This window comes from Homo sapiens, chromosome 15 (genome assembly GCF_000001405.40).
Source record: "Homo sapiens chromosome 15, GRCh38.p14 Primary Assembly".
NCBI lineage: Eukaryota > Metazoa > Chordata > Mammalia > Primates > Hominidae > Homo > Homo sapiens.
Window position 1 is genome coordinate 55,467,632 of NC_000015.10, and position 21,181 is coordinate 55,488,812.

Here is a 21,181-nt window from a genome sequence, read left to right on the forward strand (position 1 = left end):
AAGTTGTGCCAACCCTTCAGTCCTAAGGACTGAAGGAAGAGGGAACAGTAGAAAAGGAAATAGGAAGGATGAACAAGACGGTCTGTCTCTGCTGGGTGGAAATATTTGAAGTCTTAATCCTGCTGCAAAACCTATGTTTGCACTAGTAGTTGTCTGACACTTTCAAAGAGCTAAATATCAGATGAATTTGAAAGCAGTATCTTGTACAGGTGTGTGGCAACTTTTCTGCCTTTCAAACTTCCCTCACATGGGCAAGAAAAAAAACCTTGTGAAACAGAGTACCTAGTTGGTGTACATGATTGACTCCATGTATCTGACTTTCCTATGGTAAGAAAAATTTCTTACCTCTATCCACTAGAGAAGCACTTACTTCAATGATCAAAATGTCTGTGCTATCCAATATAGTAGCCACTAGCCACAGGTGGCTAATTAAGTACTTCAAATGTGGCTACTGAGACTCAGGAACTGAATTTTTAATGTTATTTAAGTTTCATTAATGTACATTTAAATTAATTTACATTTAAATAGGACATCTGAAGTGGTTCTAGACTATGGATATGCTAGGATGAAGGTCCCTAAATGTTGTATTACTTTAAAATAGAGATTTAACATTACGAGTATGAAACCTGTGCACTGAAAGGTGCTCTGTAATATCTACATGACATAATACTCTCTTCTAGAAGACTGATTATTTTCCTGTGAGATGCTGACTTTAAAATAAATTTCACGGGACACTGAATGAAAATTTCCTGTAGTCCCAATTTTACCTCAGGCTTAAATTAAGCACAAAATATGCTAATTATTACTATATATTCTTAGTTCAGAGAGTTGCCAGTAAGCTGCCAACAGATTGAACCAGGAAGAATCTACACATGGCAATGAAACAAAATTTAAATGCCTCACAATAAGGCATGATGAACACTCCATGTTAGAGAGGAAGCCACAACCTAAAAGACGACTTCACCCAGCCTAATTATATGTCTGCCTTTTTTCACTCTCTGCCCCAACACATGAAAAAGGGAGAATATGTGGAGAGTCAGACACCCTCACCCATCATACTCCCTGCAAGAAGAATGAATTTTACATGAAGTTTTTAAAATGCATAAGACTAAGTCTTAATTACCAAAAATGAGACTGTTCTTACAACAAAAAATAACAGGAAAGTTCTGGTATTATAGCCAAGATGTAGTTAAGGGAACTATAGGTATAATGATAATTTATAATAAGCTATATTAGAGACAGAAATAGTCCAGCTCTTCAGAGAGTAGTGATGAAGAGGAGAAACCAAGAAAGGCTTCACAGAGTAGGTAACAGAAGGAACTACAATGAAGAGAAAAACATGAAGAAGAAAATAACACAAAGCTTATGATAAAGAGAAAAGAGACTACATGTACCAAAGAAAAACAGAGTGTACAGTGACCGGGCGCGGTGGCTCACGCCTGAAATCCCAGCACTTTGGGAGGCTGAGGCAGGTGGATCATCTGAGGTCAGGAGTTCGAGACCAGCCTGGCCAACATGGTGAAACCCTGTCTCTACTAAAAAATACAAAATTTAGCCGGGCTTGGTGGCAGGCCCTTAATCCCAGCTACTTGGGAGGCAGAGGGAGGAGAATCATTTGAACCTGGGAGGTGGAGGTTGCAGTGAGCCGAGATAAAGCCATTGCACTCAAACCTGGGGGACAAGAGCGAGGCTCCTCTCAAAAAAAAAAGAAAGAAAGAAAGAAAAAGAAAAACAGAGTGTACAGAGAAAAAACAAACTGTTTATGCCTCTTATATACTCTCACAACACTCCATAGGTCACTTCCATCACGAAACTTGTGGGTTTCTCCTATGCTTACCAATTCTTTTTTTTTTTTTTTTTTTTTTTTTTGAGACGGAGTCTCACTCTGTCGCCCAGGCTGGAGTGCAGTGGCGCAATCTCGGCTCACTGCAAGCTCCGCCTCCTGGGTTCATGCCATTCTCCTGCCTCAGCCTCCCGAGTAGCTGGAACTACAGGTGTCTGCCACCACACCTGGCTAATTTATTTTTTTTTTATATTTTTAGTAGAGACGGGGTTTCACTGTGTTAGCCAGGATGGTCTCGATCTCCTGACCTCGTGATCCGCCCACCTTGACCTCCCAAAGTGCTGGGATTACAGGCGTGAGCCACTGCGCCCGGCCTATGCTTACCAATTCTCTAACATCAGCTATGTGTCCTCTAATTCAGTTCTGTCATTATCTACCCGGAGTTAGCATTAGATCCCACAGGTTAAGGGCTCAATTCCATAAGACAGTCTCCACACAGATGCCAATCATAAGTCCAGGACTCCCATATTTCTAACCAATCAGCTATAAGTTGGGGGTTTCTACAACCCCCTCCTCAGGTTTGACCATTTGCTTCAATGGCTCACAGGAATCAGATAAATACCTCGCTTATATTTACCCCTTTTTTTTTTTTTCTGAGACGGAGTCTCACTCCGTTGCCCAGGCTGGAGTGCAGTGGCACGATCTCGGCTCACTGCAACCTCCGCCTCCCAGGTTCAAGTGATTGTCCTGCCTCAGCCTCCTGAGTAGCTGGGTCTACAGGCACATACCACCACGCCTGGCTAATTTTTGTATTTTTAGTAGAGACAGGGTTTCACCATGTTGGCCAGGCTGATCTTGAACTCCTGACCTCAGGTGATCCACCCGCCTAGGCCTCCCAAAGTGCTGGGATTACAGGCGTGAGCCACCGCGCCCAGCCATATTTACCCATTTTTAATAAAAAGATGCAAATCAGGAAGAGGCAAATGAAAGAGATGTCTAGGGAAAGATACCGGGGAAGGAGCACAGAGTTTCCATGCCTTCTCCCTCCAAGTGTTCAGCAACCCAGAAGTTCTCCAAACCTCATAGTTACAGGAATTTTATGGAGGTTTTATCTAGCAGGCATGACTGGGTTTTTTTTTTTTTTTTAGACAGGGTCTTGCTCTGTCACCCAGGCTGGAGTGCAATGGCGCAATCATGGCTCACTGCAGCCTCAACCTCCTGGGCTCCAACGATCCTCCAGTTCAGCCTTCTAGGTAGCTGGGACACAGGCACATGCCACCAAGCCTGACTAATTTTTTATGTTATTTTTTTGTAAAGATGGGGTTTTCCCTTGCTGCCCAGGCTGGTCTTGAACTCCTGGGCTCAAGTGATCTACCCACCTCAGCCTCCCAAAGTGCTGGGATTTACAGACATGAGCTACTATGCCTGGCGGATTTTTTTTTTTTTTTTTTTTTTGAGACAAGGTCTTGTTCTGTCACTCAGGCTGGAGAGTGCAGTGGCACAACCTTAGCTCACTGTAGCTTCCACTTCCTAGGCTCATGTGATCCTCTCACCTCAGCCTCTCAAGTAGTTGGGACCACAGGCCCGCAGCACCACGAATGGCTAATTTTGTTGTTGTTGTTTTTAGAGTCAGGGTCTCACTATCTATGTTGCCCAGGCTGGTCTTGAGCTCCTGGGCTCAAGCGATCCTCCCACCTCGGCCTCCCAAAGTGCTGGAATTACAGGCGTAAGCCAGTGGACCCAGCATGATTGATTATTAAGTCAGTCTCCAGCCCCTATCAAAATGATGGGGAGGGGTGCTGCAAGTTCCAGACAACTAGTCATAGCTTGGTCTTTCTGGTGGCCAGCCACCACCCAAGAGCCCATCAAGAGTTGCCTCATTAGAACAAAAGATTTTCCTATTACATAGGAAATTCCAAGGGATTAGGAGCTCTGTGTCAGGAACCTGGGTCAAAATCCAAATAATTTAACAAAAGATGAACCTAGCACCCCATCACTCAGAAAATTACATGGGTTTTAGGAGCTCTATGCTAATAACAAGAGGCAGGGACCAAATATATATTTTTTATGATGTCATAAAGAGATGGACAAATGTTAAACTTTTTTTTTTTTTTTCTCAGATGGAGTCTCACTCTGTCGCCCAGGCTGGAGTGCAGCGGCACGATCTCGGGTCACTGCAAGCTCCACCTCCCGGGTTCATGCCATTCTCCTGCCTCAGCCTCCCGAGTAGCTGGGACTACAGGCACCCACTACCACGCCCGGCTAATTTTTTGTATTTTTAGTAGAGATGGGGTTTCACTGTGTTAGCCAGGATGGTCTCGATCTCCTGACCTCGTGATCTGCCCGCCTCGGCCTCCCAAAGTGCTGGGATTACAGGCGTGAGCCACCACGCCCAGCCAACAATTCTTAAAGATATTTTGTTATTTATTTACTTACTTATTTTGAGATGGAGTCTTGCTGTGTCACCCAGGCTGGAGTGCAGTAGCACGATCTTCGCTCACTGCAACCTCCGCCTCTCGGGTTCAAGCAATTATCCTGCCTCAGCCTCCTGAGTAGCTGGGATTACAGGTGTGTACCACCATGCCCGTCTAATTTTTGTATTTTTAGTAGAGACAGGGTTTCATCATGTTGGCCAGGCTGGTGTCAAACTCCTGACTTCAAATGATCCACCCGCCTCAACCTCCCAAAGTGCAGGGATTACAGGCGTGAGCCACCGTGCCCAGCTCTTAAAGATATTTTAAATAAAAATCATCTAATATAGGAAACACACAATTTAACACAGACACCGACAAATATTAAACAATCCTTGAAGGTCTTTCAAAGAAAAATCATCTAATACAGGGAAGACACACGGAGGAATATGCAGTAACAGAAAAACTCAGAAGGCTAAAATAATAATCATCGTACATAAAGGACTGGAGGCCCGGGGGCAGTGGCTCATGCCTGAAATCCCAGCACTTTGGGAGGCCCAGGCAGGTTGATCACTTGAGGTCAGGAGTTCAAGAACAACCTGGCCAACATGGTGAAACCCCATCTATACTAATAATACAAAAATTAGGTGGGTGTGGTAGCATACACCTGTAATCCCAGCTACTTGGGAGGCTGAGGCAGGAGAATCACTTGAATCTCGGAGGCAGAGGTTACAGTGAGCCAAGATCGCCCCACTGCACTCTAGCCTGGGTGACACAGTGAGACTTCTCAAAAAAAATAAAATAAACAAATTGGGTTTTAGGTGTTTGTACTGTTCAAAAAAGGATGCCATTTACTACAGGTTATTAGTTTAATGCAGACAGCAAATAAAACTAATACGAGAATAATGAATAGTTCCTACACTAAATTTTTGAAGAAGAGGAAATGTATAATTCTTTTAATCTAGAATGAATGTCTGGTCAACAAGGCATTGTTCTTTATAAGCCAATCCCACTTGTGAATTACATGCAAAAATTGTAAATAAAACATTAGCAAACTCAGCCCGGCATGGAGGCTCACGCCTGTAAACCCAACACTTTGGGAAGCCGAGTCAGGCAAATTACTTGAAGTCAGGAGTTAGAGACCAGCCTGGCCAAAATGGTGATAACCCATCTCTACTAAAAATACAAAAATTAGCTAGGTGTGGTAGCGCACACCTGTAATCCCAGCTATTCGGGAGGCTGAGGCATGAGAATCGCTTAAACCCAAGAGGCAGAGGTTGCAGTGAGCCGAGACTGCGCCACTGCATTCCAGCCTGGGTAACAGAGTGAGAGGCCACCTCAAAACAAACAAAAAAAAAACCTAAAAAAAAAAAATATATATATATATATATATATATGTGTGTGTGTATATATATATATGTGTGTGTATATATATGTGTATATATGTGTATATATATGTGTATATATATGTGTATATATATGTGTGTATATATGTGTGTATATATATGTGTGTATATATATGTGTGTATATATATGTGTGTGTGTATATATATATATATGCAAACTTAACCTAGAAAAATATTAAAATTATAATACACCTTAATCAAATAGGGGTAACTTAACCTAGGAAAATATTAAAATTATAATACACCTTAATCAAATAGGGGTAACTTAACCTAGGAAAATATTAAAATTATAATACACCTTGATCAAATAGGGTCTTTCTTACTTAAGGTATTAGGAAATCAATAGAGAAAAGCATTATGATGTCAGTGTATGCCAAAATGTCAGTTGATATTGGGAATAAAAATAAGAAATAAAAATTTATAAGCTGGATAGAAGGACCAAGACTATGTTATACTTCATGACGAAATATTAGAAATAGCCGGGCGCAGTGGCTCACACCTGTAATCCCAGCACTTTGGGAGGCCGAGGGAGGTGGATCACCTGAGGTCAGGAGTTCGAGACCAGCCTGGCCAACATGGCAAAACCCCTATCTCTACAAAAAATAAAAAAATTAGCTGGGCGTGGTGGCACACAACTGTAGTCCCAGCTACTCGGGAAGCTGAGGCAGGAGAATCTCTTGAACCTGGGAGGTGGAGGTTGCAGTGAGCCTAGATCACGCCACTACACTCCAGCCTGGGTCACAGAGCAAGACTCCGTCTCAAAAAAATAAAAATAAAAAATAAAAGAAATATTAGAAATATTTCCAGCAAAATCACTAAGGCAAGTATACCTAATGTTTTACTATTTTCCTAGAGGTCAGAACCTAAATGATAAACTTTTAAAAATAAGAAATACAAATATAGATTACAAGGAGATAGAATTGCATCATTTGCAAATAATAGTACACTACTTAAAATAACCAAAATAATAAACTGACAAACCAAAAGTAAGTTCAGCAAGGCAGTCACATATAAAATCAACTAGCTGGGCGCGATGGCTCACGCCTATAATCTCAACACTTTGGGAGGCCGAGGTGGGCAGATCATGAGGTAAGGAGTTCAAGATCAGCCTGGCCAACATGTTGAAACCTTGTCTCTACTAAAAATATAAAAATTAGCCAGGCGTGGTGGTGCATGCCTGTAGTCCCAGCTACTCAGGAGGCTGAGGCAGAAGAATCGCGTGAACCCAGAAGACGGAGGTTGCAGTGAGCCAAGATTATGCCACTGCACTCCAGCCTGGGCGACAGCGTGAGGCTCCATCTCAAAAGAAAAAAAAAGATCAACTTATACAAACTTATAAAAACAAACTTACTTTCCTACAAACTGGCAATAAATAATTAGAAACTACAATGGAAACGTTAATTTCATCAGCAATCACCAGAAAAACATAAATGAATAAGCTTAGCAAAATATAAGCAAGTCATAAGGCCAGGGGCGGTGGCTCATGCCTGTAATCCTAGCACTTTGGGAGGTTGAGGTGGGCGGATTACCTGAGGTTGGGAGTTCAAGACCAGCCTGGCCAACATGGTGAAACCTCGTCTCTACTAAAAATACAAAAAGTTAGCCAGGTGCAGTGGCGCACGCCGTAATCCCAGCTACTCTGGAGGCTGAGGAAGGAGAATCACTTGAACCTGGGAAGTGGAGGTTGCAGTGAGCCAAGATCGCGCCACTGCACGCCAGCCTGGGATACAGAGACAGACTTCGTCTCAAACACAAAACAAACAAACAAAAAATATATAAGCAAGTCATATATGTGTGTTAAATAATTTTGCTGAGAGATGTAAAGTATATCCAAATAAATGGAGATAAATGCCATGTTCCTGGAGGGAAATCTCAATATTATAAGTATGTTGATGCGCTGCAAATTTACAAAGTCAATGTAAATTCAATCAAAATACCAAGAGGACTTCTTAGGAAACTTGATAAGTAAATATAAAATTCATCTGCAAAGACAACATGCAGATTTTGTGGCAACATGAAGAGGTTGGCAATTCCCCTCCACAAATATTAAGGATAAAACTGGATAAAATTATCAAAAACAACCATTTCAGGGGACTGGAAATTAACCAAAAGAAGACTACAAAGAGAAAAGTCTTTAGTCTAGAAAAGCTGCTAAAGTTCTAAGTATGAAAGGTAAGAAGCTGTGCCCTTTGGCCTGAGGTTGCTCCTAAAACCCCCTCCCAGCTAGGATGATGAGCCTGGCAATTTTACTGGCTGAATATCCCTTGTCCAAAATGCTTGGAACTAGAAGTGTTTCAGATTTTGGATTTTTTTCAGATTTTGGAATACTTGCAGAATACACACTGGCTGAGCATCCTTACTCCAAAAATCTGAAATCCAAAATGCTCCAGTGAACACTTCCTTTGAGCATTGTGTTGGTGCTCAAAAGTTACAGATTTTGGAGCATTTCAGATTTTGTATTTTTTGATCATAAATGCTCAACCCATACCAACATGAAACTACCAAAAAGAACCTAGCAGTTTGTTGCTAAAAAGGGTGGGCTCATTTCCGGGTAGGGCAGTGAAAACCTGTAGCTTTGGTGGATAAAAGTGCTAGGCTTGGTTGGGAATAAAGAGGAAAACTTTGCAGTTGGTCTGAGGTTGAGATCCTGGTTAGGATAAGTGCTTAAGCAGTCAGAAATTTAATGGAAAGATTATGTAAATGAGAGAGCTACGGATGCATGGTGACCCTATCACCTTTTAAGGCTCTCATGAAACAATGGATAGAAGACAATGAAATGACATGTTCAAAGTACCGACAGAAAAAAACAGAACTATAAACCACAAATTCTATATTTAGCAAAACTATTCTTCACAAGTGAAAGCAAAATACCTTCCAAGACAAATGAAAACTGAGGGAGTATGTTGCTAATAGACCTGCTCTATAAGATACACTTTTTTAAAAAAGGGCAGGGCATGGGGAGGTGGCTCGCACCTGCAATCCCAGGTGTGATTTGGGATGCCAAGCCAGGAGGATCGCTTGAAGCCAGGAGTTCAAGACCATCCTGAGTAACACAGAGTATCCCCATCTTTACTAGATAGGCATGGTGGCATGTGCGTGTAGTCCCAGCTACTCAGGAGGCTGGGGCAGGAAGACTGCTTGAGACCAGGAGTTTGAAGTTACAGTGAGCTATGAATGTACCACTGCACTCCAACCTGTACAATAGAGTGAGACCTTATCTCTTAAAAGAGAAAGGAAAGGAAAATGATACCAGATATTAACTAATTCATACCTACAAGAAAGAATGAAGAGTATGAGAAATGGTAAATATGTGGGTAAGCGTAAAAGACAATACAAACAGATTTTTTTAAATGTGTTCTATACGTTTTAATAGAACATGATTCAGCCTTAAAAAGAAAGGAAATTCTGACACAAGCTAAAACAAGGATGAACCTTGAAGACAAAGTATGCTAAAAAATATAAAACAGTCACAAAAGGACAAATATTGTATAATTCCACTTACATGAAGTAAAATAAGTCATTTTTTTTTACATAAAATAGTCAAATTCATAGAAAAAGTAGAATGGTGGCTGTCAAGGGCTGGGAGGATAGAGAATAGAGAGTTATTGTTTAATGGGTACAGAGTTTTAATTGTGCAAGACGAAATGAGTTCTGGAGGGCCAGGCATGGTGGCTCACGCCTGTAATCCCCGAACTTTGGGAGGCCAAGGCGGGTGGATCACCTGAGGTCAGGAGTTAAAGACCAGCCTGGCCAACATGGTGAAACCCCGTCTCTACTAAAAATACAAAAAATTAGCCGGGCGTGGTGGCATACGCCTGTAATCCCAGCTACTCAGGAGGCTGAGGCAGGAGAATCACTTGAACCCAGGAGGCAGAGGTTGCAGTGAGCTGAGATCACGCCACTGTACTCCAGCCTGGGCAACAGAATGAAACTCCAACTCAAAAAAAAAATAAAAAAAGAAAAGAGTTCTGGAGATGGTTAGTAGTGATGGTTGTCAATATACTTAATGCCATGGAACTGTATACTTAAAGATGGTAAGTTGTATGTTAGTTATATTTTACCACAATTAGAAAATAAACTTTTTAAAAAGACAATATATATATTTTTGCTTTCTACTCTTTATTTATTTAAAAACCTAAGATTTTTTAAGAAATAATGATTTTTAATGTAAAATCATAACACATATTGTTGGGATTACAACAAATATATATGCATATACACATACCTGAATGGCACTAATAGACCAAAGGGAGGAGTAGAAAATGGAGTTATATTAGAACAAGTTGCTATATTTTACTGGAACTGAGTCAGTATTAACCTGAAGTAGATTGTGATCAGTTAAAGGAACACAGAACAACCACTGAAAAATAAATTTTAAAAATATTTAAAAATATATGTAAGTATGTATGTATGTATGCGTGTGTGTGTGTATATATATATATACATATATACACATATATGTGCATGTTTTTTATCTATATAGGTAAAAAATTAACATAGGAACATCAGTTTAGGCTTTGACATGTAAAGAGCTTAGAAGCTGTCACTCCTAGCTGGGTGTGGCAGCTCACACCTATAAATCCCAGCACTTCAGGAGGCTGAGGCAGGTGGATCATTTAAGGTCAGGAATTTGAGATCCATCTGGCCAACATGGTGAAAACCTGTCTCTACTGAAAAAAAAAAAAAATTAAAAAATTACCTGGGCATCATGGCAGGTGCCTGTAACCCCAGCACTGGAGGACTGACTGCCCCAGCTCCCACGGAGGAGCTCAGTCAGTTAAGACTCTAGCAGTGCAAAAGCAGGAGCTAGATGAAGACTGAAGGGGCCCAGGGCCTTCCTCACTGCCCCTGTCCAGGAACATCATCATTACTACTGAGGATCCCTGAGTAACTCTGGACACAACGGGTACACAAATTCAGTTTCTTTTTGATTCAGGGGCAAGTTACTCTGTACTTACTGCTTATGCAGGAAAGCCCTCCACTAGGACAATGACTGTTATAGGAAATGAAGGAAAAAATAAAGTCAGGCATTTCACCCCTCCTTTAACCTGCCAATTTGAAAAACAAATTTTCCAGCAGGGGTTTCTAATAGTACCAAGCTGCCCAGTCCCCTTGTTCAGAAGAGATTTTATGGTTAAAATAGGGGCACTGCTACAATTTAAGCACTGCCTGGGTGCTAATGGTCAGTGATGCAGACAACGTTCTGGACCATGTCAACAAACAGGTCAACCTGCTAGCATGGTATACTGGGAGGCCTGGAAGGGCTAGAATGGCAGTGCCAGTCAACATACAGCTTAAAGGACCCAGTCATTATCCCAACCAAAAACAACATCCAATTAAGCTGAAGTCAAACACACTGCTATCCCAATCCCAGCCCAATCTTGGGCCCTTGAGAAAATATCCCCACCCAAATCTCCAACTATAAGAGAAGAACTCCCTTCAATTTAATGAACCTGCATGACATATTTGACTTCAAAATTACGGAAATGACAAAGGTTACAATGACAAGACAAGCAGTAAACCTTCTCCAGTCCTATCAAATCAACCTTTCTGGAGTTGCATCCCCTCAAAAACCCATTAGGGGCCCAATATCGATGCACACAGAACTAAAATTCCAGGCACCACTTTGTATTAAAAGAAGCCAAAATTTTGGTCAAGCCCTGAGTACCTTGAAATATCTTCAATGCAACCACCCCCTAGAGATTAACCTCTTATCTGATCATGTAAGCTATGCAGTTACCCAGACTGCATCATTTAGAAAACTTGTATGGTTTTCATGAAAACCACCCTTAGTTAAGGCTACTTTAAAGGATATGCAGTCTAAGTACTGTCAGGGTAGGCCCACTAGCTGTATGCACATTTTCCCCTGGGAAGGCTATACTAATCCTGAGACATCTAGTTGCCTTTTAGTCCCCCAGTACAAAAATAGCTCTGGGTGTTGGCTGGTAGACACTAAGCATAACCACCTAAACTGAGAGAACAAAACCACTTGGGCAACTCAGAGTACTTCCCAAGTGTTGCGGGAAGTCAGGGACCCCGAATGGAGGGACTGGCTGGAGCCGCAGCAGAGGAACATAAATTGGGAGATTTCATTTTAATATGGACATTTATCAGTTCCCAAATAATACTTTTATAATTTATGCCTGTCTTTACTTTAATCTCTTAATCCTGTTATCTTCGTAAGCTGAGGATGTATGTCACCTCAGGACCACTGTGATAATTGTGTTAACTGTACAAACTGATTGTAAAACATGTGTGTTTCAACAATATGAAATCAGTGCACCTTGAAAAAGAACGGAATAATAGCAATTTTTAAGGAACAAGGGAAGACAACCATAAGGTCTGACTGTCTGTGGGGTCAGGCAAAAAGAGTCACATTTTTCTTCTTGCAGAGAGCCTATAAATGGACATGCAAGTAGGAGACATATCGCTAAATTCTTTTCCTAGCAAGGAATATTAATATTAATACCCTGGGAAAGGAATGTGTTCCTAGGCGGAGGTCTATAAATGGCCGCTCTGGGCTCTGGGAATGTCTGTCTTGTGCAGTTGAGATAAGGACTGAGATACGCCCTGGTCTCCTGCAGAACCCTCAGGCTTACTAGGGTGGGGGAAAAACTCCACCCTCGTAAATTTGTGGTCAGACCAGTTCTCTACTCTTGAATCCTGTGTTCTGTTGTTTAAGATGTTTATCAAGATAATATGTGCACTGCTGAACATAGACCCTTATCAGTAGTTCTGCTTTTGCCCTTTGCCTTGTGATCTTTGTTGGACCCTTGTCAGTAGTTCTGCTTTTGCCCTTTGTCCTGTTCCCTCAGAAGTATGTGATCTTTGTTACACCCTTATTAGTAGTTCTGCTTGTTGCCCTTTGAAGCATATGATCTTTGTATCTACTCCCTGTTCTTACACCCCCTTTTTGAAACCCTTAATAAAAACTTGCTGGTTTGAGGCTCAAGCAGGCATCACAGTCCTACCGATATGTGATGTCACCCCCGATGGCCCAGCTGTAAAATTCCTCTCTTTATACTGTCTCTCTTTATTTCTCAGCTGGCCAACACTTATGGAAAACAGAAAGAACCTACGTTGAAATACTGGGGGTGGGATCCCCCGATACCCAAGGCCCCCTCCAGCCTTTAACCAGGGCCACTGTAGCAGGGACCTTAACCACTTGGGAAAAGGAAAACAACAAGCTAACCTACATGTTCATCATAGAGAACAATTTTTGTCTTGAAAAACAAGCAGCCTTTTTCCTGTGTGGGACTAGTTCCTACTTACGTTTACTAGCCAAATGGACTGGAACCAATTGTTTGCACTGCACACTTGTTTACTTAGCCCCCGAGATCAATATAGCTCCCAATAACCAGTCTCTCATTATACCTTTAACTGCAACCATCAGGCACAAACAAGCCACCCAACTCATACCCTTTCAGGTAGGGTTACGAATAACTGCAGGCGTAGAAACAGGAAATAGTGGGCTTCCAACTTCTCTATCCTATTACCAACGCTTGTCCAAGGAGCTTTCAGACGGCTTGGAAGACACTGCCCAAAGTATGCCTTACAAAATCAGGTAGACTCTTTGGCAGTCACTTTACAAAACAGAAGAGGACTGATAAGGTTGGGCTCTGTATCCCCACCCAAATCTCACCTTGGATTGTAATAATCCCCACGTGTCAAGGGTGGGACCAGGTGGAGGTAAATGAATCATGGGGGCAGTTTCCCCCATGATGTTCTCATGATAATGAGTGAGTCTCACAAGATCTAATGGTTTTATAAGGTTTTATGGCATTTCTCCTGCTGGTGCTCATTCTCTCTCCTGCCACCCTGTTAAGAGGTGTCTTCTGCCATGATTGGTAGTTTCCTGAGGCCTCCTTAGCCATGTGGAACTGTGACTCAATGAAAACTCTTTCCTTTATAAATTACCCGATCTTGGGTATGTCTTCATTAGCAGTGTGAGAATGGACTAATACAGGGACTGGATCTCCTAACTGCTGAAAAAAGTGGCTTATATCTTTTCCTAGAGGGAAAGCACTGTTTTCATATCAACCAATCAGGATTAGTAAGGGATGCTGCCCCAAAATTAGCTGACCAGGCCTCTAAAATATGACAACAGTTGTCCAAGTCATGGGGCCCCTGGTCAAGGATACTAAGCTGGGTTTCATGGCTCCTTCCCCTAGCCAGCACATTATTAATACTTGTACTTACATTGATTTTTGGACCATTTTTGTTTAATCATGTAACCAGATTTATTTCTTCTCACCTAGAGAACATTAAGCTTCAAATGATCATGCAGCAGGGCTTCTAGCCAGTTCCAGGTGACGATGCCAGCCCTAGCCTTCAAGAAGTCACCCTCTCTCCACTAGACAGAGCAGGGCAAGAGTTCTGTGGTCCCCAATATGTAGGGACTCTGCCCTAATCCGCACGAAGCAATTACAGAAGACAGACCATCAGTTCCTCTGCCTCCCATAAAGATTTATTGGGATCAAGTCTCTCAGGGGGAAATGAGGCAGAACAGGGTCTGGAACAGGGAGCCTGAGGCCAACTAGCAGCTGGCTTATTGGAATTGGGCCAAAAGAAAAACCCCACCTCTCCATGCCAAGGGCCAGAGGCCCCTCCCTCTACAAAACCCCCTCTCTCCCCTATTGCTAATTAGTTATGGGCCAAGACTTCACTTCAGCCTCTGATTAGTAATGGGCCAAGCCTTCATTTGTGTAGGGTGCAACCAATGGGAAGCCTCTAAACGGTACCCAGGAATGCTACCAAATTCTTTTAGTTTAGTACAAACCTGAAAGAACATTGCAATCGGGGCTCTTGAGCTGCTTGCTTGAGCCCGCTTACACTCTGTGGAGTGTACTTTTGCTTCAGTAAACCTGCACTTTCGTTGTTTTGTTCTTTTATTGCTTTGTTTGTGCATTTTGTTCAATTCTTTGTTTAATGTGCCAAGAACTGGGACAACTCATAGTCAAGACTTTCCATCTGGCAACAACAGAAGTGTTGGCAAAGATGTAAAAAAATTAGAATCATCATACATTGTTGGTGGGAATGAAAAATAGTATAGCCATTGTGGAAAACTATTTGATGATTCCCCAAAAAGCTAAACAGAATTACAAATGACCCAGCAATTCTATTCCTAAGTATATACATGAAAGAATTAAAAACAGACACTCAAGGCCAGGCGTGGTGGCTCATGCATGCAATCTCAGCACTTTGGGAGGCCGAGGTGGGTGGATCACCTGAGGTCAAGAGTTAGAGACCAGCCTGGCTAACATGGCAAAACCCCCTCTCTACCAAAAAATACAAAAAACGAGCTGGGCATGGTGGTGCTTGCCTGTAATCCCAGCTACTCAGGAGGCTGAGGCAGGAGAATCACTTGAACCCAGGAAGGAGAGGTTGCAGTGAGCTGAGATCATGCCATTGCACTCCAGCCTGGGCAACAGAGCAAGATTCCATCTCAAAAACAAAACAAAACAAAACAAAAAACAGATACTTAAATACTAGAAGTACATGAATGGTCATAGTAGTACTATTTGTAATAGCCAAAAGGTGAAGAGAACCTAAATTTTCACCAACTGATGAATGGATAAACAAAATGTGGTGCCATCCATACTATGCCATATTATTCATCCATAAAAAGGAATGAAAAACTTATACATGCTACAATATGTATAAGCCCTATATACATTTTGCTAAGTGAAAGAAAGCCTCCCATAAAGACTGATGGGCATCACATCCAAAGACCACACACTGTATGTGAAATGTCTAGAGTAAACAAATCTATAGAAACAGACAGTAGATTCTGTCTCCTCCAGGGGCTATGGTGGAGGGAAAAGTAGGGAGTGACTGCTAATGAAAATAGGGCTCTTTATTTATTTATTTATTTATTTATTTTGAGACAGAGTTTTGCTCTGTCGCTTAGGCTGTAGTGCAGTGGCTCAATCTCGGCTCAATGCAACCTCTGCCTCCCAGGTTCAAGCAATTCTCCTGCCTCAGCCTTCCGAGTAGCTGGGACTACAGATGCACACCACCACACCTGGCTAATTTTTGTATTTTTAATAGTGATGGGAATTCACCATATTGGCCAGGCTGGTCTCAAACTCTTGACCTTGTGATCCGCCCCCCTCAGCCTCCCAAAGTGCTGGGATTACAGGTGTGAGCCACCATGCCTGGCCAATAGGTCTCTTTTTATGGTTATGAAATGTTCCAGAATTACATAGTGGTGATGGCTGAATAACTTGTATACATACTAAGAAACAATGAATTCTACACTTTAAAAGAATGAACTTTATGGTATATAAATTATATCTCAATAAAGCTGGGGTTTGTTTTTGTTTTTGAAATGGAGTCTCACTCTGTCGCCCAGGCTGGAATACAGTGGCACAATCTTGGCCCACTGCAACCTCTGTCTTCTGGGTTCAAGTGATTCTCCTGCCTCAGCCTCCGGAGTAGCTGGGATTACAAGTGCACACCACCACACACGGCTAATTTTTTGTATTTTTAGTAGAGATGGGCCAGGCTGGTCTCGGATTCCTGACCTCAAGCAGTCCACCTGCTCAGCCTCCCAAAGTGCTGGGATTACAGGCATGAGCCATCACACCCAGCCAATAAAGCTTTTTTTTTTTTTTTTTTTTTTTTTTTTTTTTTTTTTTAAGAGAAAGCATAGGCCAAATAATGGGAGAAGAGAGGAAAAGAGCAAGCAAGAATAAATGTTATACTTACCAATATCTCAAAGATTTAGGAAAAAAGGGAATGAGTGGGTTTCAGAGATATAGTTCAAATTAAAATGGCACTGAAGAGCACATCAAAACCACAATGAGATACCACTTCACACCCATTAGGATGGCTACTCTCAAAAAACCAAAATAACAAGTGTTAGTGAGAATGGGAGAAACCGGAATCCTTGCACACTGTGATGAAAACATAAAATGGTCCAAATGCCATGGAATACAGTATGGCAATTCCTCAAAAAATTAAAAATAGGCCGGGCGCGGTGGCTCATGCCTGTAATCCCAGCACTTTGGGAGGCTGAGACAGGTGAATCACGAGGTCAGGAGATCGAGATCATCCTGGCTAACATGGTGAAACCCTGTCTCTACTAAAAATACAAAAAAAATTAGCCAGGCGTGGTGGTGAGCACCTGTAGTCCCAGCTACTGGGGAGGCTGAGGCAGGAGAATGGCTTGAACCTGGGAGGCGGAGCTTGCAGTGAGCCGAGATCGCACCACTGCACTCCAGCCTGGGCAACAGAGTGAGACTCCGTCTCAGGAAAAAAAAAAAAAAAAACAGAATTACCATTACCATATGATCTGCTATATCCACTTCTAGATACAAGCCCAAAACAATTGAAAGCAAGATTTCAAAGGGATATTTTTATACTCGTGTATATTAGTCAGGGTTCTTTAGAGAGACATAACTAATAGTATAGATAGATATATATAAAGGGGAGTTTATTAAGTATTAACTCACACAATCACAAGGTATCACAATAGGCCTGCTGCAAGCTGTGAAGCAAGGAGAACCAGTCCAAGTTCCAAAACTGAAGAACTTGAAGTCCCATGTTCGAGGGCAGGAAACACCCAGCACGAGCAAAAGATGTGGGCTGGGAGGCTAGGCCAGTCTCGTCTTTTCATATTTTTCTGCCTGCTTTATATACTAGCCATGCTGGCAGCCAATTCAATGGTGACCACCCAGATTAAGGGTGGGTCTGCCTTTCCCAGCCCACTGACTCAAATGTTAATTTCCTTTGGCAACACCCTCGCAGACACACCCAGGATCAATACTTTGCATCCTTCAATCCAATCAGTTGACAGTCAGTATTAACCATCACATCATGTTCACAGCAGCATTATTCACACTAGCCAAAGGGTGGAAGCAACCCAAGTGTCCAATAACACATAAATGAATAAACACTGGCCAAAGACATCAGAACAGGAGATACCAAAAGTACAGAGCTCTAAGAACGGGTTTATGGAGAAAATACAAAACATGTAAAAGTGGAAGACAGGCTGCTGAGAAAGTCTGACATACACTGAAGAGGAATGAGATGAAAGAAAAAAGAAAGATGGGAGGATTTTTTAAATGCCAGAATCATGAAAGTTATTATCATAAAATAGAATAAAATGGCAAAGCAGTTCATTGTGGTCTTTTTGTACATTAGTTATACATGCCCATGATAAACAGGGCATGTGTATTCACTGATAAGGATCATTTTGAGGTCCTATGGCATTAAATAGACAACTAGCAACTCATACCTTATCTGCATGATCAGGCAAACCTCTTTCAAAGATTAAGGTTTCTGGGTTTCAACTTTAAGAAACCACAGCAGAAAAATGCACTTCAAATTTGACCTATCCAGTTTAAAAGATCAGTTGGAAAAAAGAGTTCCATTGAAGCGGAAAACAAAACAAAAACAAGAAATGATAAAAAAAAAATTCAAGATAGAAGTGGGTAATGTACAGAACAAAATAGTGAAGAAGACAGGAAAAGTAGGCGGCCAAGCGCAGTGGCTCACGCCTGTAATCCCAGCACTTTGGGAGGCTGAGGCAGGCAAATCACGAGGTCAGGAGATCGAGACCATCCTGGCTAACACGGTGAAACCCCATCTCTACCAAAAAATACAAAAAATTAGATGGGCGTGGTGGCGGGCACCTGTAGTCGCAGCTACTCGGGAAACTTAGGCAGGAGAATGGCATGAACCCAGGAGGCAGAGCTTGCAGTGAGCCAAGACTGCGCCACTGCACTCCAGCCTGGACAACAGAGCGAGACTCCATCTCAAAAAAAAAAAAAAAAAAAAGGAGGCAGTAGCAGCCAAGATTAGCGAAGAGGAAAAAAAAGCACATTTTGGAAGACTCTGGCATCAGTATTCCAAGCTTCCACTAATCACCTCATATCCCTATACCTCCACCTCAATCTCTCCCTTTCTGTTGATGACCCTGCCTCGTTTTTCTGTTTGTTTGGTTGGTTGGTTGGTTGGTTTTTTTTTTTTTTGGAGATGAAGTTTCACTCTTTGTTACCCAGGCGGGAGTGCAATGGCATGATCTCAGCTCACTGCAACCTCCGCTTCCTGGGTTCCAGCCATTCTCCTGCCTCAACCTCCAGAGTAGCTAAGATTACAGGTGCCTGCCACCACGCCCAGCTAATTTTTGTATTTTTAGTAGAGACAGGTTTTCACCATATTGACCAGGCTGATCTTGAACTCCTGACTTCAGGTGATCCACCTGCCTCGGCCTTCCAAAGTGCTGGGATTACAGGCATGAGCCACCATGCCCAGATGACCCTGCTTCTTTACCAAGCAAAGTAAAAATTCCTTTAATTATCTGTGTGCTTAAGAATTTTCCAGATCCTTAGATATCTATTCTTTGTTCCTGCTGGGCAACATAGTTAGACCCCATCTCTACAAAAACTACAAAAAAATTAGCAGGGCATGGTGGCATACACCTATAGTCCTAGCTACTTGGGAAGCTGAGGTGGGAGGATCTCTCGAACCTGCGAGGTCAATGTAGTGAGCTGTAATTGCGCCATTTTGCATTCCAGCCTGGGCAACAGACCCTGTCTCAAAAAAAAAAAAAAGTTTATTTTTAATTAGCAAAAATGATAAAATATCCCCATATCACCAGAAAACTGCTCCATCATCAATCTTCTCTCTTCATTGTATTATTAACCTTTCCCTCTTTACTGGCTTCCTTCCTCAACATACGTATGCTCAAAATTTCTCCATCTTAACAAAAACTCTGCCTCCTCCCTGCAACCTCTTCAAACTCATTAGCCAGAACGAGCTTTCTAAAAGACAAACTCAACTAATTTTACACTTTTGTGGAAAATCCCTTAAGAGAGTTCTCTATAACCTTTGAGAAATTTTTCAAAATCTTAGTGAGAGGTGAAGCCAGCTGGACTTCCTGGGTCAAGTGGGGACTTGGAGAACTTTTCCTGTCTAGCTAAAGGATTGTAAACGCACCAATCAGCACTCTGTAAAAATGCACCAATCAGCGCTCTGTGTCTAGCTAAAGGATTGTAAACATACCAATCAGCACTCTGCAAAAATGCACCAATCAGTGCTCTGTGTCTAGCTAAAGGATTGTAAACGCGCCAATCAGCATTCTGGAAAAATGCACCAATCAGTGCTCTGTGTTTAGCTTAACAATTGTAAACGCACCAATCAGCACTCTGTAAAATGGACCAATCAGCACTCTGTAAAATGGACCAATCCGCAGGACATAGACGGGGACAAATAAGGGAATAAAAGCTGGCCACCCCAGCCAGCAGCGGCAACTGGCTCGGGTCCCCTTCCATGCTGTGGAAGCTTTGTTCTTTCACTCTTCATAATAAATCTTGCTGCTGCTCACTCTTCGGGTCCGCGCCACCTTTAAGAGCTGTAACAGTCACCGTGAGGGTCTGCAGCTTAATTCCTGAACTCAGCAAGACCACGAACCTACCGAGAGGAACAAACAACTCCGGACGCGCCACCATTAAGAGCTGTAACACACCATGAGGTATGCGGCTTCATTCTTGAAGTCAGTGAGACCAAGAACCCACCAGAGGGAATAAATTCTGGACACATTAGGATATTATTTCTGACCAATAAATGTTCCTTTGTGTGCCTTATTTTCATATACCTATCCAAATTGTAATGTCATTTTCCCATTATACCTCTCTTTCCAAGAAGTATAGTCTATTTTTCCAATCTTTAAATCTGGACTTGGCTATGTGACTTGATTTGGCTAATGGTACATTAGCAAATATGACACAGCAGGGGCTTTAAAAGCACTTCTGCAATGAGGTTTTCCCTCTCTTTCTACCAGGAACCTAATTGTGATTCATTTTCCAGGATTCAGCACAAACAATACTGCTTTGGATTCCTTGACCATACTCTCAGGATGAAATACCAATCTTTTTCTTTTTCTTTTTTTTTTTTTGCTGCGTAAGAGCGCAGCAAGAAGGCCCCAAAAACAGAGAGTCTAACCAGAAAGAGACCCTACCAGACCTTGATCTATGAGAAAATAAATTTCTGTTAAACAACATTTTGTTAGGGTAGCCCAAGCAGAATAATACCTGTACACACAGTATAGCGAATTGACACAGCCCCACTAATTATTTTTTAAAAGGTTACTACTTAAAAACCACTTATTTTTGGTAGATGTCCTTCAAGTTTTAAATTAATTTATGCTAACTTAAGCTAACAATATGTTGCCTTTTGTTACTATTTGCTCTTACTGGATCGTCAAAGTTCTTTTCTTAACAGTGTCTAGGATTGCACAGAGTGAAAATAGCTTCAGCTAATTCACCAAAGTAGACGTTTGCTACGGGTACATAGTACTAGAGTAATGCATTCATATTAATTTATTCAAATGTTTGAGCACCAATTTACTTGATAATGGCTATAATAAGGATGAAACAAAACATACTCCCAACTCTCAACACTACTGAGGGAAGAGAGAAAACAGACAATTTGTGGAACAGGATACTGGCTTTTGTAGGTTCTGTCCTCTTAATATAACCCGTATCTTCATATTTTATATATTAATTCCTCTAAATCACCTTTCCCAATACCAAAGTCAAGCTTTCATACATTAGTAAATTGAAAACTTCAGCTGG

At 41.8% G+C, this 21,181-nt stretch overlaps 1 protein-coding gene and 1 long non-coding RNA gene across 4 annotated transcripts in view, besides 1 other annotated feature; both read right to left on the reverse strand.

Moving 5' to 3' along the window:
* The window catches only part of DNAAF4-CCPG1 (DNAAF4-CCPG1 readthrough (NMD candidate)), a 143,362-nt gene that overhangs the window by 112,409 nt on the left and 9,772 nt on the right, over positions 1-21,181 (reverse strand). The window lies entirely within an intron of this gene.
* Positions 1-21,181, reverse strand: part of DNAAF4 (dynein axonemal assembly factor 4) — a 90,480-nt gene that overhangs the window by 49,877 nt on the left and 19,422 nt on the right. The window lies entirely within an intron of this gene.
* Positions 8,438-8,517: an enhancer, noted in NCBI's record as "active region_9448". NCBI's record gives its function as "activates an Ori minimal core promoter by ATAC-STARR-seq in GM12878 lymphoblastoid cells {active_cell/tissue: GM12878}" and the evidence as "EXISTENCE:reporter gene assay evidence [ECO:0000049][PMID:35858748]".